The following is a 16369-nucleotide window of genomic DNA, read 5'->3' on the forward strand; positions in this document are numbered from 1 at the left end:
GTATCCAGCCTGCCTCTCTCCCAGCGGCTAGGGAATAGGGCTGCAGGGGCCTGGTGCCAGTGGTCTGGGGAGAAGTGTGAGCTGGGCCTTTGCTCCTGTAGTTCCTCCACCGGGAGCCTCATCCCAAGCCCCCATGCTAGGTTCTGTGGGGTGAGGAGAGAACTAGGTTTGGGGCATGCGAATTGGGGGACCAGAGGCAGGCTCAAAGGGGTGTGGTGCTGAATCTGAGGGCCAGATACCTCAGGGTCATTATTCTATCTCTCATCAGTGGAAACAGGGAATTGGAGAACTGAACGGGGGAGGAGGCTTGTCCGAGATCACACAGCAAATTGACAATAGTTGGGCCGGAGAGGTGCCCCTCAGCAGCGGTGGGGATGCCACAGCTAAATGAACTCACCTGGGCTCCTGTTCCAGAGGTCTAGGTGGGCAACAGGCCCTTCATCCTGCTCTCTCCTCTTGAATTGGCAATTCTTATCCCCACTGTACAGATGAGGAAACGGAGGCTCTGAGATGGGCCGTCAGGGCTGTGCTGTCCTGGGGGACTTCCAGGACGCTTAAGGATCTTGGGGCCCCTTGGCTCTCCCTGGGCGCCTAGCATGTGGTGGCACAATGAGGGTGAGGCAAGCTTCCCTCAGGGGAGGTGAGTGGGGGCTCGGGGTCCCGTGGGCCCACGCATGCCCGGGCTAAGCTTAATCCTTCTGCGAGGCACAGCGGCTGGCTTTCAGGCTGTGGATGTGGCATCAGACAAGCTGGGACCCTCTGTTCACACCATGGGTCTTGATTCCCATGGGGCCCAAGTCCTGCTGGTCTGCAGATGTGTCCTTCCCACACCCTCTCCAGCACTCCTGACCCACCCTCAACTACTGTCCTGGCCTCCTCCCTGTCCCCTGGCCTGCGCGCTTGCCTTTCAGGCCGCTCTCACTCACCAACTAGATCTTCATTGTGACAGCCAGACCCCATCAGCCCTGTGCCTGATGCCCTCTAGGGGCTCCCCTGTCCCCTAAAGAGGCTCCTCCCTGGCCCATGACGCCCTGTGGAAAGGCACTGCAGCTTCTCCTCTGCCTGCAGCCCTGAGGCCAGAGGAGGAGTTGAAGGCATGGAGGGAGGCGTGTGGAGACCCCACACATGCACGGAAGCTACACGGCAGACAATGGCCCCTGGAAGTGTGCGATAGGACAGCCCTGGGAAGGGGGCTGGCTGCCTGGGCAAAGAGAGGTTCTAGCAAGGGGCCGGAGTCTGTGTCACGGTCACCTGTGGGGGCTCATCTGACCCAGCCAGAGACAATGGGGCCAAGGCCTCTAAGAGTTGCTAATGATAGTCTTTAATGACCATGCCTGGAAAGGGATGACTTCACCCAGGACACACCCTGATGAGAGGAGGCTACAGTCACAGGCAGGCGGCTCCTCCATTGCTATGAGACCTGCATGGGCTTGTCTAGTCAGAGGATGGCAAAGCTGTGTGTGTGTGTGTGTGTGTGTGTGTGTGTGTGTGTGTGTGTGTGTGTGTGTGTGTGTGTGTGTGTGTGTCTGGTCCCTCACAGAGCCAGGGCCTAGTGAAAAGCCTCAGGGCAGCAGGGTGGGGGGCCCAGCTTCTACCTTGCCTCACTCTATGACACCCCTCTGCAAACCTCACCTTCCCCATCAGCACAGGGCTGGGAAGCAGAGTGATTCCCGAGCCTTCCCAGGGCTCTCAGGTAGGCTGGGTCTCAGGAGTCAGGTGAGAGCACTGTGTCCTGGTGGGGCCCAAAGAAAGCAGGGGAAAAGATGTCAAGGATCAGGACCTGAACACCCTCCATCGGGGCACCCAGAGGTTAACATGCTACTGTGCTCCCTACAGAGAAAGCTGGCTCCCATATCAGGCCCTCTGGCTTCTGCCAAGGATCTGGGGGTAGGTGTTGGTGTCCCAGACACATCCATTCTGACACAGAGGGAGGTACAGTGCAGTCATGCTGTTGGCCCAGGTGCACAGCACATGGGCAGTAGCAGGGAGGGGCAGGCTCCAGTGCAGGCTTGCCACCTACCCCCACCCTGGTCCATTCATGAGGAATGACTTTCCTCTGGGGAGGGGCCCTGTGGGGGTGGCAGGCAGAGCAGGGCCCTCTCCTGAGGGCTCCCTCTGCCCCCAGGCTCAGAGCGGGACCACCCTAGGGAAATGTTCATCTCTCCTGCGGTCTTGTCGGAACCCCTTCAAGGTCATCGCTCCACAGCACTCCAAGTGCTTCCTCGTATCCAGCCTTAGTCAGTCCTCATGTTGCACTTGATTCATTTATCAGAGGACAAGTTGAGGGCCCCATTATCCTGCCACCCAGTGTGACATCACCGAGCTTCCCTCGGGCATGTTCCCTCCCTGGGACTGCCCAGCCGGCACAGGAAATGGCTGCTGGATGAATGTGCAAGTGAGTAAGTGTCTTGGATCCTCCTCCCATGGGAACACTAAGCGGCTAAGGAGTGGACCAGCTCCCCGGGGTCCAGGCTGAAACGGAGGCAGAAACAGGGACCAAGGAGGCAAACAGGCTCAAGAGAGCAACAGGACTGGGGACAGAGATAAAGCAGGTGCACCCCCAGAGAGCCAAGTGTCCAAGAGCTCAGGACGGCTGCGCTGAGGGCCTCAGCCACAGATGGCCTGAAGCAAGCAGGGCCCGCTGGGGAGAGCATGGCAGAAACGGGGTGGGATAGGAGGAGCTCAGGACACGGGGCCATGAGATGGGAGCCCAAAACCCAGGGGTGGGGGACCACAGTCCAGTAAGCGTGGCCCGGCCCAAGGTCACAGAGCAAGGACCCAGGGCCCCAGCCTCTCAGCCATGACCTGGCCCTCTGTCCCCCAGCAGGGAACCTTAGCCAGGCCCAGTGCTGAGGTAGGAATTTCTACAGGTAAGGAGGACACAGACGGTCAGAGAGACCACTGGCCCCAGAGTGCACAGGGGTAAGTGGCGGGGCTGGCCCTCTTCAGGCAGTCCCAGTCCTCCGTCTGAAGAGCCGGCTCAGGAGGCGGCTGCCACTCCCACCCCCACCCCGTCCTGTGCTTGGGCACGCTGGCACTGCCAGGCACTTACTCGGTTTGTCGAGGGCCCAGCCCCCAGCCCAGCACCCGCGGGCTTCCCCAGGCCTGGGCGAGGGCAGCAGGAGGGAACAAAGGCCCAGTCTCTGCCTGCTCAGGCCCCCACCCCCTTTGCCTGCCCCTGGCACAGAAGGAACAGGGCCCTGAGGGAGCCCAGGAGCAACAGCAGCACCGCCCCCTTGTCGAGGATGCAGCAAGAAGCCCCCTCCTACCCACAGAGGCCTGCCGGCTGAGCGGCAGGATTCTTCCACGCTCCACATGGGAGTGTTAGGGGGTAGAACTGAGGGACTGCAGTCACACAGCTGAGATTTGCACCCAGGCCCCACAGTGGGCAGAACCTGCCCTCTACCCCTCTCCACAGGCTGCGCATGATGGTTGTGACTGCGTTCTGGTGCAGACTAACTGAAGAGCAGAGATGAGGGAGAGAAGAGAAGGAGAGCCTTGGGCACCCCAACAGAGCAAGTCCCAGGCTGAGCCGCCCTCACCCTCTCGGCCCTACCTACCTACCTTCCACCTGGATCCAGCTCAGTGCTGATCACACAGTTTGCTGAAGGGATAGAGCTGGGGAATGTCAGAAATGGGGAAACTGAGTCAGCTTCCAGGCCTCTTAAGTCCTTGACTGGGGCTCACCTGATCCAGCCAGAGGCAAGGGAGACCTAAGCCACTCTGGAGCCTCCATTTCCTGATCTGTAACTCGGGGCTTGTTGTCCACTGGGGCCTCACTTCCCCAGACTGTGGCCCCCATCCTTCTCCAGACCTCCTCCCTGCTCTAGCCCAGGGCCTCGCTTAGACCCCCACCCCCAGGGGAGCCTTGACAGAGGCCCATGCCCACCCTTCCTTGTACACGCCTGAGCACGGCTGATTCCTCCCTGTGAGCCCAGGCCAATAATGTGCTCTTCATGCCACAAAGCTGAAAAGCACTCAGGAACCAGGTGCAATCGGCCTAAGGGACCTGTCCAAGGCCACCCAGCCCTTAAGAAGCAAAGAAGGGCTGACCTGTCACTACCCACTGATATCTCAGGACCTGCAGGGGCAGGGTTAAATGCACATTCCCCTCTCACCCACACGGCAGCAAGAGAAAGAGTTAGGGTCCTGGGGGCTGCAATCTGGGCAATGCCTAAGCAGACAGCCTCAGACAATGAAGGGCGAGTCAGGACTCAGTTGTGTCAACTTGGTATATACAACCTCTCCAAGCCTTGATTTCAGCAGAAGCCCACAGAGAAAGCCCTGATGCCTCTGCCTGCCAGTGCCTAAGGGCTGGGGAAATGCCACCTGCCCCAGCTTCATCCAGAAACTGTGGCTGCTCCCTCCCATCTGCGGGGCACCTTGATTAGTCTAAGTGGCCAGCAGACCCCAAGCAGAACCAGGCCAGTGCCTCACACAGAGCAGGCACTAGGATGCCTGTCGACAGCACTCCTTCCCCTCCTTCCCAGGCCCCAAGCCCTTATCGGACACGACTCATTTTAAAGAAAAAATAATATTTATTTGCAATATAAACAAAGTCCCGTTGTTGGTTCGGGATATATATATATATGTATGTGTGTGTATATATATACGTAGGGTCACAAATCTTCCTTCATAAGATCATAAAGCAAAACTGGCCACCTTCTGGCATACCCTCATTTACACAAATCTGGTACATCTTTCTGGGTTTTCTTTTTAAAAATAAAAGAGAGAAAAAGAGAACCATGTACAGCATGGAAGCTTGTTGTCAATTTCTCGACTGTGGCAAGATTTTAATCTGCTGCGCTAAAGAATCCCTGAAAGCCACCCCCGTGAGGTAAGAAGCAGTGGGGCAGAGTTTTTCTGTGGCCTCACTCACATGCTGAGTGCTGCTCCGTCAGGGACCCTGGCCTGACTCCTCTGCCTGCCCCAGGCCCCCATGCAGTCCTGACACCTGGTGGAACTGAGGCTGGAGAAGGAACAAAACTGGAGGAAGATAACGGAATCCGTGGCTTCGTTCTGTGGAGGCAGGGGGAAGTGAACAGAGCCTTACCCCCCTTCTGCTGGTCCATCCTTGCCCCACTTGCCCCCGCCCTAGGGTTGAAATGGGTGCAAGTCTCCTGGCAGTAGAAGGCATGGGCAAGATGAGGGCAGGGCAAGCTTCCAAGGGGACAAGGGGGCTGGGAGTGGCCAGACCAAAGCAACAGCTAGGGAGAAGGAAGAACCTGGAGGTCGGGCTGGGCCCCACCACCTAATGTCTCCCCAGCCACTGGGCCTCCACTCCCAGTTACAACAAGAGAGAGGAAAGGAAGAGAGAGGGAGGGGGGGAGAGAGAAAGAAAGAGAGAGAGAGGGAGAGAGAGAAAGAGAGAGAGGGAGAGGAAGAGAGAGAGACAGACAGACAGACAGAAGTAGTGGCTAAGTATATAAAAGGGCTCAGAGCCCAGGCCTTCTTAGGGGCTGACCCCAGAGGGCTAATGCTACTGCCTGGCAGCCCCCTGCGGCCCACCTCCTGGGGGACAGCGGCAGGGCCCCAGGGTCCCCACCTTCTGCCTCAGGGAGGTCTGCAGGGACCACCAGAGGGATGGATGAGACGGCAGAAAATGCAAAGACCACCATCCAGCCCACCAATCACAACTTGCAGCAGTCATCACAGGCGAATGCAGAGCTAAGTCAGACTGGGCCAAGGGTGGGAGGCGGCACGACTGGGGGTCCCAATACCTGAAGAGCAGTAAGCCACCCCTTCAAGAAGGGCCCGCTGAGGAAACAGAGGCTTCACACATGTGCAAAACGCATTTGGTCAAGGTCAACATGGCGTCTGTCTTTTCCATTAAAAAACAAAAACAAAAACAAACACGATACTTGCTTTTTGAAATTGAACGAAAAACAAAACTGAACATTTCTCTCTCTTGCAGGATCAGGAAAGGGATGAAATACTGGGTTATACAATCCACTGTTGCATGTAGCCTGAAAATAACACTTTTTGTTAAAAAAAAAAAAAAAAAAGAAAAATCAAGAAGAGCTCAAACACTCTTTGTGCTCCAGGGAGCTTGGATTTACCTGCCAAAAGTAAAAAGTAAACTCAGGTCCGTGGATGTGTCTTTAAAAAACAGCCAAACTGGCTGGGCTGTCAGCAGAAAGGAGCGTCCTGGACAGGATGAGGCCCTGGTGGACGCCCAAAGCCACGTGTCCAAGAGCCGAGGCCTCTCCAGCAAGCCCTGCAGTGGGAGACCTTGCCTGCGGGCCCTGCCCCCAAGGATGGTGAGGGGCGCTCCGACACCGATCAGCCTGGGCCTCTGGGCACAGGTGACATCTGGGGGTTCCTCAGGCCAGAGGTGGCGGGCTTGGGCTCTCCCACCTAGCCCTGTGGAGAGCCGAGCAGGGGCCTGGTGCCATGCCCCCCGTGCACCAGGCCTCACGTGGACTCCAGCGTATTGAGTGGGAACAGGTTGTGGTTGGTGGGCGTGGAAAAGTAGAGCTGCTCACTCGACGCGTGGTTGTCGCACGGGCTGCTTAGCCCCAGCGTCCGCTCAAAGTCCAGCAGCTGCCCCATGAAGTTGAAGTTGGGCGAGATGTTGGACTTTTTCCTCTTGACAAAGTCGTAGGCGTCGTTGAGTGACAGGTTCATCTTCTGCATCAGATAGGCCACAGTGACCGTCACTGAGCGGCTGATGCCTGCCAGGCAGTGCACCAGGACACCACACTTCTTGGAGCGGGCTTCGTCTGAAACACATTGGCATGGGTCAGGGAGGTGCCTCCTTCAAGGAGCCTTCCCACATGGGTGGGCAGGTGGGGCTGGGGCACAGAGGGCAGCATGGTGGCTGGCTGGTCTTGCCCGACCCCTGAGGGACCTGGCCAAGCCCAGTGTGGGTAGGGCAGCAACTTGGAATAGAGGTCAACAGCACTGCTGTGGAGAGGGCTCTGCACACTTTAGCCCCAAGGCACTGGACACCCGTGTCTGTTTCCTCATCTATAAAATGGGCCTATTTATGCACAGTGGTCTCATAAGGACCTGAGCCAAGTGAGGGGTCAACAAACATGAACTACTGTAATGCCTGTGATCATGGCTAGTCCTACCACTGCCATGTGCGTTAACGACTGCTGTCACGGGTGTCACCTGCATCCTCTTGGGTCATCTGCACCATGGCCAGTAAGCCCATTTTATCAACGAGGAAACAGACACAGAGACAAAGTGGCAAGCCCAAGGCCACACAGAAGCTCCTCCTAGCTCAGCGCCCGCTGCTGCCAGGCCATGACCTGGGACTGGGGGCTGGGCTGGTTCTCTTGGAGCCGCTCCCATGGGTTGTCCCTGAGAGTCTTCTAGGAAAGTGGCCTGAGGGAGGCTCCTCTGGAAGGAAGTAGGTGGCCTGGCCCTGCATTTCGCTCTGCCATCTGCCCAGCTAGTCCCCAAGGCCTTAACTCCAGCTCCTAAGACACATGGACTGGGATGATGGCCACACTATCACTTGTGATGGGGCTTCATAAGTGAGGTGTGCTTAAATGGGCCCCACCCCTGCCACTTGCTAGACCTTCCTCAGGAGGCCCATGTGTCAGTGATATCTCCTACCACAGCTGACTGGATGGGGCCAACCTTCCTGTCCCCTTTCCCCTCCAACCCTCCCAGCTTCCCCCAGTGCCACCCTCAGACTCCTCTGTCTGACACATAGAAGCTCAATAAATACTGGCCGAGCTACTGAACAACTCAGTCCTGTAATCTCTCCTGGACCCCGGGGCAGCTGCCTCTCTGTGTGCCACAGCTGTGCCAGGGACATAGATTCACAAGAGGCAGCCATGGGGTCCTTGATGTCCCCACCACCCTGACTCTGAACCCTCCAGGAGCCAGGCACACAGCTAGCACGCAATCAATGCCTTCCTACAAGATGACATACGGGTTCACCCACTGTTCTTCGTTGCCTTTGTCCTGACAGAGCTTCCTCTCCCATCCCCTCCCAACCAAGGAGTAAAGCATACAGTAGGTGCTTCCTCCAGACTCAGGGACTGACAGGGGGCCCCATGGCTAAGGCACTGGGGCAGGATCATCTGGCAAGGAGACAGACATTGCAGCTTCATGAGGAGCTGTGTGGTCAGACCTCGAGATTGGGGGTGGGAAAAGGGGGTGCTGGGACCAGCCTCCAGTGGTGACACCAGGATGTGAGGAACGCCTGGCCTCCAAACCCACCTCCAGGTGATCCAAAGACAGTCTGTTTCTGCTGGCTTTATTTTTGGCCTTTTCAGGGTGTAGCTGGTGACTGATCCTGTCCCACTGACTCCTAAGGGATGCCTGGGCCTCAATTCCTTCACTTGTCAAATGAGGAAAAAGGTCCCCCTACCCAGACGGGGAGGAGCTTTCAGGAAGGATAAAGGTACCCACTAGCCAGGCCCAGCCTGGCGAAGCCTGCTTCCCTCTCTCTATTCCCCTCCCTCGTTGGGGGAGTTCAAATGCTGAGGCAGCACCCCTAGCCCTCTTGACCCAGGGGGTGGTGGGCAGGGCTGAGAAGCTCCAGGCAGCCCCAGTTGCAGCCCCTCCCCCAGGCCTCAGCTTCCTTCCTTCCTCCCAGCCAGGCACCTACTTTTGGTTCCCAGTAAGCGGATGAGGCGGGGAAGCCTCCCACTTCCTGTTGTTAAAGCTAGCCCAGCCCAGCCGACACCAAAACGCCCTCCACTGGACACAGCCACCATCGGGAAAAGACAGCCCGGGCCACCCCCACACCTTGCCACTGGAGGCTGGGCAGAAACATTGGGTCACCAGGCTCAGAGATAGAGCGTTTACATTCATCCTGAGCCCTCGTGCCCCTTCCTTGCACCCTGGGCCAGGGGAGATGACCTGTGGTCTCAGCCTCCAGCTGGCCAAGGAGAAAGCAGTGGGGACCCGAGTCTGCTGAGGCTGGGGATACAGGGACTCGAAGGGCACTAAGCCAGACAGCAGGACACACTGCTCTGGGGAAGGCCTTTCTCCACTCCCCCACCTTCTCTTGCACTCCTCCCTACACTCCAAGCAAGCCCTACAGGCTGCAGAGAGCATCTGGAGGCTGACTGAGCTAGCAGTCACCACATTTCAATAGCTGCCTGTTTGGGGTGTGCCTCTGGCTCCAGGGCTACCTTTCAGCCCTCTTAGGTCCACATTAAAGCCCAAAGAGGCACTATGACAACCCCATCCTGGAGAGACACGTGTGCTGAGGCGTGATGCGGAGCAAGTGAGACCCGTGGGAGGTCTGTGCGCTGTGATGTTTCAGCTTGCTAAGCCCGAAACAACATCTAAGCCAGGAAAACACAAGCTGGACAGCAGAGAGCCCATGACGTGCTGTCAGCTAGGGGGAGCTCAGGACTCAGGAGACTGCTCAGGCCCCAACAGGTAGAGGGGCCCAAGGGACTCGGTGACTCACAGTAGGCCTGGGTACACCCACGGGCACACGCTGGCACACGTAGGGCACACACAGGTCTCAACAGGCCCAGAGGTACCCAGTCAGGCGGGGGCGCCACCCAGAGTCCTGCATACACCTTGATGCACCCACACCCCCCTGCCCAGCACACAGCACCTACCAATGAAGCTGATGGCCTCAGGGAAGAACTGGGAGAGGTTCTGGCTCCAGTGGTCAGAGATGGGGATCTGCTTGTAGGTGAACTCGCCGCCGTGCTCGAAGGCGTTGGGTAGGTTGGGTGTGACATTGAGGATATACTTGATGCCATACTTGCCGAGCACGTCCAGGTTGGTGGAGTCCTTGGCGCAGCCGAGGTAGAGGTAGGGCAGGATCTGGACAGGGAAGGCTGGTTGGCTGGATGGCACAGGGCTGCCGTCTGACTCGGTGGCACTGCTGGGCAGCTCTCGGTCCGACTCGCCGTCGGAGCAGTCAGAGCTGATGCGCAGGCCCCCCAGGCCCAGCACTGAGGTGGGTGGCGAGCTGCTCGGCGAGGAAGAGCTGTCCACGTTGGTCTCGCAGTGCTCAGAGTACTCTGTTTGAAACTTGTTGAAACCACCTGTGTCCAGGGTGAGACAGGGCCTGGGTGAGAGGCTGGTGAGAGCCCAGATGGGCTGCACAAGACCAGAGATGGCCAGGACTCTGCACGCCAAACACCACAGCACCCACGGTCAGCATGGGCCATGCCAAGCATGTTACACGTGTGCCCTCTCTCGTGTTCTCTCCATCTAAACCATGACCACTTCACAGATAAGGAAACTGAGGCCCCAGAAGGTGAAGTGACGTGCCTGGACTCCAAACTGGTACCCATAACACTTCGGGGCCCCCAGCCATGGCACCAGCTTTAGGGCACTTGAGGACAGGCCCCAGCTAATTCCTCTTCTGCAGCTCCCACGCACACCTAGCACCCATGGGTGTTCAGTAACAGCTAAGTGGTAAAGAAAAGCAGACAACCCCATCTTAGCCAGCACCTCTGGGTTGGCAAACTCCTCTTATAGATGAGACCACAGGTGCCAGAGCCACATCTGGCTCAGTTAGAGGCAGAGAGGTCCTGGGCTTCCTGAACGGGAGTCTAGTGGTTGCCCAGCCCCGAAACTACAGCTGGGGAGGGTAGTGGGAAGGTACTGGCTGGCCCCTTCCCCCAGCAGGGGCAGGTTTTTGAAGGGGGTCCTGGCTCCACTTCTCTAGAACCCTCCCTTAGAACACAAGCCCCACCCCCAGCCTTGGACCTGCAGCGGGGGAGGGCCACTGGGGCGATACAGGGACAGGAGAAATGGGGAGCCCCTTGCAGCGAGGCATGGGCCCTGCGCCCGAGGGTGCCGCAGGCCTCCCCTCCCCTCCCGCCCGCCCCGCTGCCAGCAAGAGGCCATTTTGGAATGTTAATTGGAAACACCGGCCTCAGCCACTCGCCCCCCGGTGCTACCTCTCCCTTCTGCAAGCTCCGGGGCAGCAGGCTAGGGACCTGGGGGTCCCGAGAGACCCGGGCCAGGGCAATGGAGCCTGCCCATACCCTGCCCCAAGCGCCTCCTAGAGGCGGCAATTCTCCGGTGGAAGAAGCAATTCCCGGATCCAGGAGACCCCAACCCAAATGGTCTCCATGCGCTGGAGGTGAGGATGGTGCTATGAAAGGTGCCCTTCCTGATCCTGGCCTTCCAGAAACACGAATTCTAGGCTGGACTTGGGCGCCCTGCCGCTTTTAGGGTTCTGGGAGGCGGCGCCTTCCACCTCTGAGGGGCTCCACTGGAGCCCAGGCACTACTGTCGCCCCATCAACAGGAAAAAAAAGGAAACCCCAGGCAGGGGAAAGTTTGTTCCACCCACTCGAATCGTGCCGAGAAAGGGGGCGCAGAGGGAGCCCCGCGCCTGCCAAACCACACAGTGGGGACCCGGCTCCAGGAGGGCGGATGCGGGCCGGGGACGACGTGGCGCCCAGAGGGGCAGGCCGAGCGCGTGGAGAGGAAAGCGCCTCCAAGGGGGGCGTCAGGGAGTCGCGGGGGGGCCCCGATCCCGTAAGGCGTCTCGGTGCCGCCCTCACCTTGGAGGTAGTAGGCCTGGCAGCCGTCGTCGCGCAGCTTCTGTAGGAGCAGGCCGAGCACGGAGGCGGGAGCGCCGGGCTCGGGCTGCCACTCGGCCGTGGCCTCGTCGTAGAGCAGCACGGTGGCCGCCTTGCAGCGCGTGGCGAAGCGCTCCTTGTCGGCGTGGTTGGGGATGATGGAGCGGATGGGCAGGTTGCCCTTGCGCAGGCGGCGCAACATGAGGCCCGGGATGGCCAGGTTGATGGCCGTCTCGATGTGCGACGACTCGAAGAGCTCGTGCGGCCGGCAGTCGAGCAGCAGCAAGGACGCGCCGCCGCGCGCCTCCAGCTCCTCCTGCAGCCACTCGGCGCTCTTGCAGGGCATGGCCCCTGCCCCCGTCGCCGCGCCCGCCCCGGTGCCTGCGCCGGACCCCGACCCCGCACCGGGCTCGGACCCCGCCCGGGTGCCCCCAGCCGCCGCCGCCCCCGAAGTCGACATGTGCGCCCGCGCTGGGGGGCCGCGGAGCTGGTTTTTCATGGGGAGCGCGGGCGGCCCGGGGCCGGGGCCGGGCAGCCCTGCCCTGGGACGGCGCCCCGGCCGCGCGGGCCCCAGCCGCGTCTCCGGGCGCCCGCCTCCCGCCGAGCTGCGCGCCCGCCGCCCCGGCCTCCCGGCCTCCCGGCCTCCGTCCCGCCCGCCCGCCCGGCCCTCCGCGCGCACCGCGGCCTGACAGCCCCAATTAAACGGCGGCTCCGGCGGCCGCGCGCCGAGGCGTTCTCCGGGGGGCGGGGCCGCGGGGGCCGGCGCCCGGGCTTAAAGGCGCAGCGCCTCCACCGCCCCTCCCCACGGGGTATGCGGGCGCGCTCGCGACCCGAGCCCGGGAGACCAGCGGCGGGGCCCTCCCCCACCGCCTCCGCACCGTTGCCCCCTGGACTAGCTCGGAGCTGACTACGATCCGCCTAGGGACCCCGGCCTAGACGCCCTCATGGGTTCACTCTGCGCGTGCTCCCAAGCTCTTCTGGACACTGCGGGAAGAGAGGCCCTGGGGGCGTCCTATGCCTGGCACCCCCACCCCACATTCACAACAGCATAGTTTTCCTGGGACGGGGCGTGGTGGGGGGGATGGTCAAGCTGAGCAACCTCTCCTCCTCCCGCCTGTCATCCCATTCATTTTTTCTGTCATCGAGTTCATTCAACAAATGAGAACTGAACGCCTACTACGTGCCAGGCACTGTGCTAGGCGGTCACCGTTTCAGAGGACCTCATCGTTCCCCTGACGGTCACAGGCTCCAGACCTGAGGGAGAGCGTCTCACGCCAGCAGGCCTGATGGGAAATCAGGACCTGGGCAACTGGCGGGGTAGGAAGACTCAGGGCCGTGCCACCTTCCGTGGGCAGGTGTGGAGAAATCCTAGAAAGGACCAGCTTTGGGAAGGGATCGCGAGCCCTTTAAGAAAGCTTTACAAGCGGGGTGGTGACAGGCGCCCAGTGAAGCGCCACGTGACTTTTTCCACGGGGCCGGTGGGAGGGGAATGCTCCTTTATAATCAGCTTTCCTTCCCCTGCCTCCCTCTCAACGGACCAATCAACTTCCGCGGTAGGCGGGCGCCTGCCATGCAGATGGCCAATCCTGGCCGAAAGAGGCGGTGGCGGAGGGAGGCGGGGCCCGCCGCGGTTTCCACCCAGGGCGGGGAAGTGGGCGGGGCCTCCGCCCGCCCTGTGTGTCGATTTGCAGGCAGGCGGGGCAGCGGAGGTGAATGGACCCGCAGGTAGCGCTAGAACAAAGCGGCTAGACGCAGGCGGCGCGCTTGCGTAGGACCTGCAGTGCTTTCCCTACGGAGCCAGGGTGGCAGCTTGAGGCTGGACCCTGCCGTCTATCTGGTCCATTCTTTTGCCTGGCGGGGTGCCCCTCCTTGGGGCTTAACCCCCCGACTCCGCCCGAGGCTGGTCGGCTCTGAGACACCTTGCCCCCATCCCTGACTGGGGGAGCGGTGGTGCTTGAGGGACGGCCTCTGGAACCCCGAGGATTTGAGCTTTCCGCTAACCTCTGACCAGAAGGCACGAAAAGGGGTGACTCAGGAGCAGTCCCCGCCTGTCTTTCAAGCGAGGGATAGTCTTTCGGAAGAGTTTCATCCTGGGCCACAGGGCTGTATCCCAAAGGAGCAGGGGTCTCTCCCACAGTCACATTCTCAGAGTGTGAAAGGAGAAGCAACTCTCCGCCCAAGGTTGTCCTGGGGGTCCTGGGCCTGTGGAAAGAGCTTCCAGGGCCCAAGATGCCAAGACCCAGATTCTGTCCTGCCACTTGCAGGTGTGTCCTGTGACCTTAGTATGGTTCTTCCCTCTGGGCCTTGGGTCTCCCAGTGTAGGAGAGTGCTAGTGTGGACTGAGCCCAATCCGTCTATGAATCCATCCGGCTGGGAGGACGTGGTCTGAGGACAGGCCTCTCGGCTGGCAGGCTGGATGCTGCTTGTCAGGGATGGAGGCAGCACTCAAAAAAGAGGCCTGAGCAAACTCCCAGGGGAGGGTGAGCTGCTGAGCAGTGCACCATTCACTCAGCAAGCCTTGCTGAGGGCCTCCTGAGTACCAGCCTGCCTGGAGCCGGAGTGACAACAGTGGAGCCTCCATCCTCCACTCAGGCCTGGCTACCTCTCCCCTCTGCTCCACCATGGGGTTGGATGCCGGTCTGGGTGCTCTCCCAGGCCTACCACAGGATGAACACAGACCCCTCTTTCTCTAGGGCAGAGACTGGTCTTGGTGTTCCCTCCCCAGACGGGTCCATGGTAGCTCAAGAAGGTGTCAAGTGCCCAATAAGTCAGGGTGACATCCCTGAGGGGCAGGCCAGAGTCACATCAACAGAAGGCTCATGCTGTCCTCAAGTGAGACTGGGCGCGTGTCCCACGGCGCTGAAGCATACTCGCTTCTGAGTGCCTGGTGAGGAATGGGCCATTGCTCTCACTAGCAAGGGAACAACTGAAATGGGAGCCTCCTCTGAGCCTCCCCAGCCCCCACTACCCAGGCATGAGGAAGAACTACCCTAGAGAGAGGAAAGGGGTCCCGCCATCCCTCACATTAGCCTGCAATGACTCCTGTCTCTCTCCCTTTAGACTCCTGTAGTGGGGGATACACCCTGGAGGAGAGATCTGTGAGAATGTGTGAAAAGCTCCTGCAGCAGGAGGAGAGGGCGTCCTCTAACAAGGAGGTAAAGAGAGGCAGATTTGGATGAGTGCAGGAGAAGGGGGAGCATGTGGAGAGGGGGTGACAGTGGAAGCAAAGGGTTGGCAGGAAAATTAACCAGCCCCTGATGTGCCAGCAGGACCCTGGGCCCCCACCGGGCAGGTTGGAGGAGGTTGGAGGAAAGGCCCTAAGTCTTGGTTCTCACTGTGGGGAAGAACCCTCAATCCCAGACTTACAAGGCCCAGAGCAGGGCAGGAACTCGCCTATGGTCACATGGCAAGAGACCAGAGCTGTCCCTGTCCGGGGCCTTGCCTGGCAGCTGTAGGCTTCCCTCAAGGGAGAGGGTCGTTCTTGGCAGCAACCTGGTGCCCTGGGTGATTCCAAGGCCTTGGAATCATTCTTCCTCTTTAGAAATGTGGTCTTTCCTGCCTTTAGGGTTCAGGCCTTCCCTCACCTGCAGCTCCCAGGAGGGGTGTCCAGCTCACTAGGGTCTCCCTGAGGGGCAGGGTGGGGGAGTGGGAAAGAGGCTGCTGGAAAAGCTCTGTCCCTGGGGATGAGCTTGTTTCAGGAGGGAGAGGGGAAGTGCAGGTGGGACATGCTTGAACTCTCTGAGGGCTGTCCCTCCTTCCCACACAGCCCCAGGCCTTTGCACAGGTATTTCCCCTGCCTGGACAGTTTTCATCCTCAGCCTTTGCCTGCCTTCTGATCCCAGCTCAGTCTCTGAGCACAGAGGCCTCCTCTGATCATCCGGGCCCAGATTAGCTTCCCTGCTGGGTGCTCCAAGGACCCCGTCCCCTCCTCACCCCATCTTTGCTCTGCACCCTATCACAGTCACTGTCCACCACCCAACACCATCCACTACCACACCACACTGGTCACCCGGAACGCCCAGGGGCAAGTCTGCCCTGCCTCAAGCCTGCTGCTCCTCCTGCCATCCCTTCTCATCGCGATCAGCCAACTGCCAGGCCTGAACCCACAAGGCACGTCTGGAGCTGCCTTCCCTGTCTGCACACATCCAACCTCAGAACCACACAGAGAAGGGGCCTTCCTGGCAGCACAAGGCCTCGCCATGGTGGGTATGTTTCATGGCCCTTTGCTATTCCTCTGGGAGGAGCTGAGGGTCCCTAAGAGCAGATGTGAGCTAGTATGTACCCCCTTCCCCCCAACACACACATTCATATGGCTGGTTGACCAAGGAGCTGTGTCATCAGAACAGTTCAAGTGCCTAAGAAACAGATTTACCTTTTCCCACTACTGCCCATGGATTTCTTGCAAACGGGCCACCATGCTTCTAATGGACAGGCTGAGGCGAGGGGAGGGTCAGCTCCTTGCCCTCCTGGTCCTAAGGAGGCTGGCACAAATCTAAGCTAAGGAGGCAGCTTTCTACTATGGGTCTGTCTCACATCCCACTGTAAGGGATGAGCAAGGGCTGAGCAGTCTCTGGTGCCTGTTGCTGGAGAGTAAGCCAGCCTCTGCCCAGACCAGCTCCACCAGGCTGGAGAGGTGCTCCGATGGAGGCCTGCTGAGACCTAGACTTGGTCTGCTTGCCCTTGAACTTTGGGACAGCTTCTTCCCCAACCCTTGGTGGGGTGCCTGCCTGGGCCGGTGTTCAGACAGCAGCATCTAAGCCAGGCCAGGAGAGGACTGTGAAGGGATGGCAACTCCTCTGCCCTGTATAGAACTCCTGGCTGCACACATACACATATACATGTAAGGATACATACAACACAGGCACCAACACACATAGTCCTACCCATATAACCACATATGCT

General features: G+C 59.6%; 1 protein-coding gene and 1 long non-coding RNA gene across 2 annotated transcripts, besides 6 other annotated features; one reads left to right on the top strand and one right to left on the bottom strand.

The window, feature by feature from the left end:
• On the top strand, positions 1829 to 4558 carry LOC124906238 (uncharacterized). The gene is made up of 2 exons (XR_007095908.1): positions 1829 to 2922; positions 3419 to 4558. It is a non-coding gene; the product is annotated as an uncharacterized LOC124906238 (long non-coding RNA).
• Positions 1920 to 3119: an enhancer, noted in NCBI's record as "P300/CBP strongly-dependent group 1 enhancer chr3:52080336-52081535 (GRCh37/hg19 assembly coordinates)". NCBI's record gives its function as "activates an origin of replication core promoter dependent on BRD2, BRD4, P300/CBP, MED14 and CDK7 cofactors, with strong dependence on P300/CBP, by STARR-seq in HCT116 cells {active_cell/tissue: HCT116}" and the evidence as "EXISTENCE:reporter gene assay evidence [ECO:0000049][PMID:35650434]".
• DUSP7 (dual specificity phosphatase 7) lies at positions 4519 to 12171 on the bottom strand. Its single transcript, NM_001947.4, has 3 exons — positions 11450 to 12171; positions 9540 to 9974; positions 4519 to 6722 (listed from the first exon to the last, which is right to left on the bottom strand). Exons 1-3 carry the CDS (start codon positions 11964 to 11966, stop codon positions 6415 to 6417), a joined length of 1260 nt encoding a protein of 419 aa, NP_001938.2. The 5' UTR covers positions 11967 to 12171; the 3' UTR covers positions 4519 to 6414.
• Positions 10682 to 10751: a silencer, noted in NCBI's record as "silent region_14426". NCBI's record gives its function as "represses an Ori minimal core promoter by ATAC-STARR-seq in GM12878 lymphoblastoid cells {active_cell/tissue: GM12878}" and the evidence as "EXISTENCE:reporter gene assay evidence [ECO:0000049][PMID:35858748]".
• Positions 11462 to 11511: a silencer, noted in NCBI's record as "silent region_14427". NCBI's record gives its function as "represses an Ori minimal core promoter by ATAC-STARR-seq in GM12878 lymphoblastoid cells {active_cell/tissue: GM12878}" and the evidence as "EXISTENCE:reporter gene assay evidence [ECO:0000049][PMID:35858748]".
• Positions 11832 to 11891: a silencer, noted in NCBI's record as "silent region_14428". NCBI's record gives its function as "represses an Ori minimal core promoter by ATAC-STARR-seq in GM12878 lymphoblastoid cells {active_cell/tissue: GM12878}" and the evidence as "EXISTENCE:reporter gene assay evidence [ECO:0000049][PMID:35858748]".
• Positions 12092 to 12471: a silencer, noted in NCBI's record as "silent region_14429". NCBI's record gives its function as "represses an Ori minimal core promoter by ATAC-STARR-seq in GM12878 lymphoblastoid cells {active_cell/tissue: GM12878}" and the evidence as "EXISTENCE:reporter gene assay evidence [ECO:0000049][PMID:35858748]".
• Positions 12872 to 13231: a silencer, noted in NCBI's record as "silent region_14430". NCBI's record gives its function as "represses an Ori minimal core promoter by ATAC-STARR-seq in GM12878 lymphoblastoid cells {active_cell/tissue: GM12878}" and the evidence as "EXISTENCE:reporter gene assay evidence [ECO:0000049][PMID:35858748]".

The sequence above is a fragment of the Homo sapiens genome, chromosome 3 (assembly GCF_000001405.40).
Source record: "Homo sapiens chromosome 3, GRCh38.p14 Primary Assembly".
NCBI lineage: Eukaryota > Metazoa > Chordata > Mammalia > Primates > Hominidae > Homo > Homo sapiens.

Bases quoted from the DNA above. Each gene is read 5' to 3' on its own strand.
- DUSP7 (NM_001947.4), bottom strand. From the start codon at position 11,966: ATGAAAAACCAGCTCCGCGGCCCCCCAGCGCGGGCGCACATGTCGACT. The intron at 9,975-11,449 runs GTGAGGGCGGCA...CCCTGGACACAG, and splicing joins CCAGGCCTACTACCTCCAAG to GTGGTTTCAACAAGTTTCAA. The intron at 6,723-9,539 runs GTAGGTGCTGTG...AATGTGTTTCAG, and splicing joins TGAGGCCATCAGCTTCATTG to ACGAAGCCCGCTCCAAGAAG.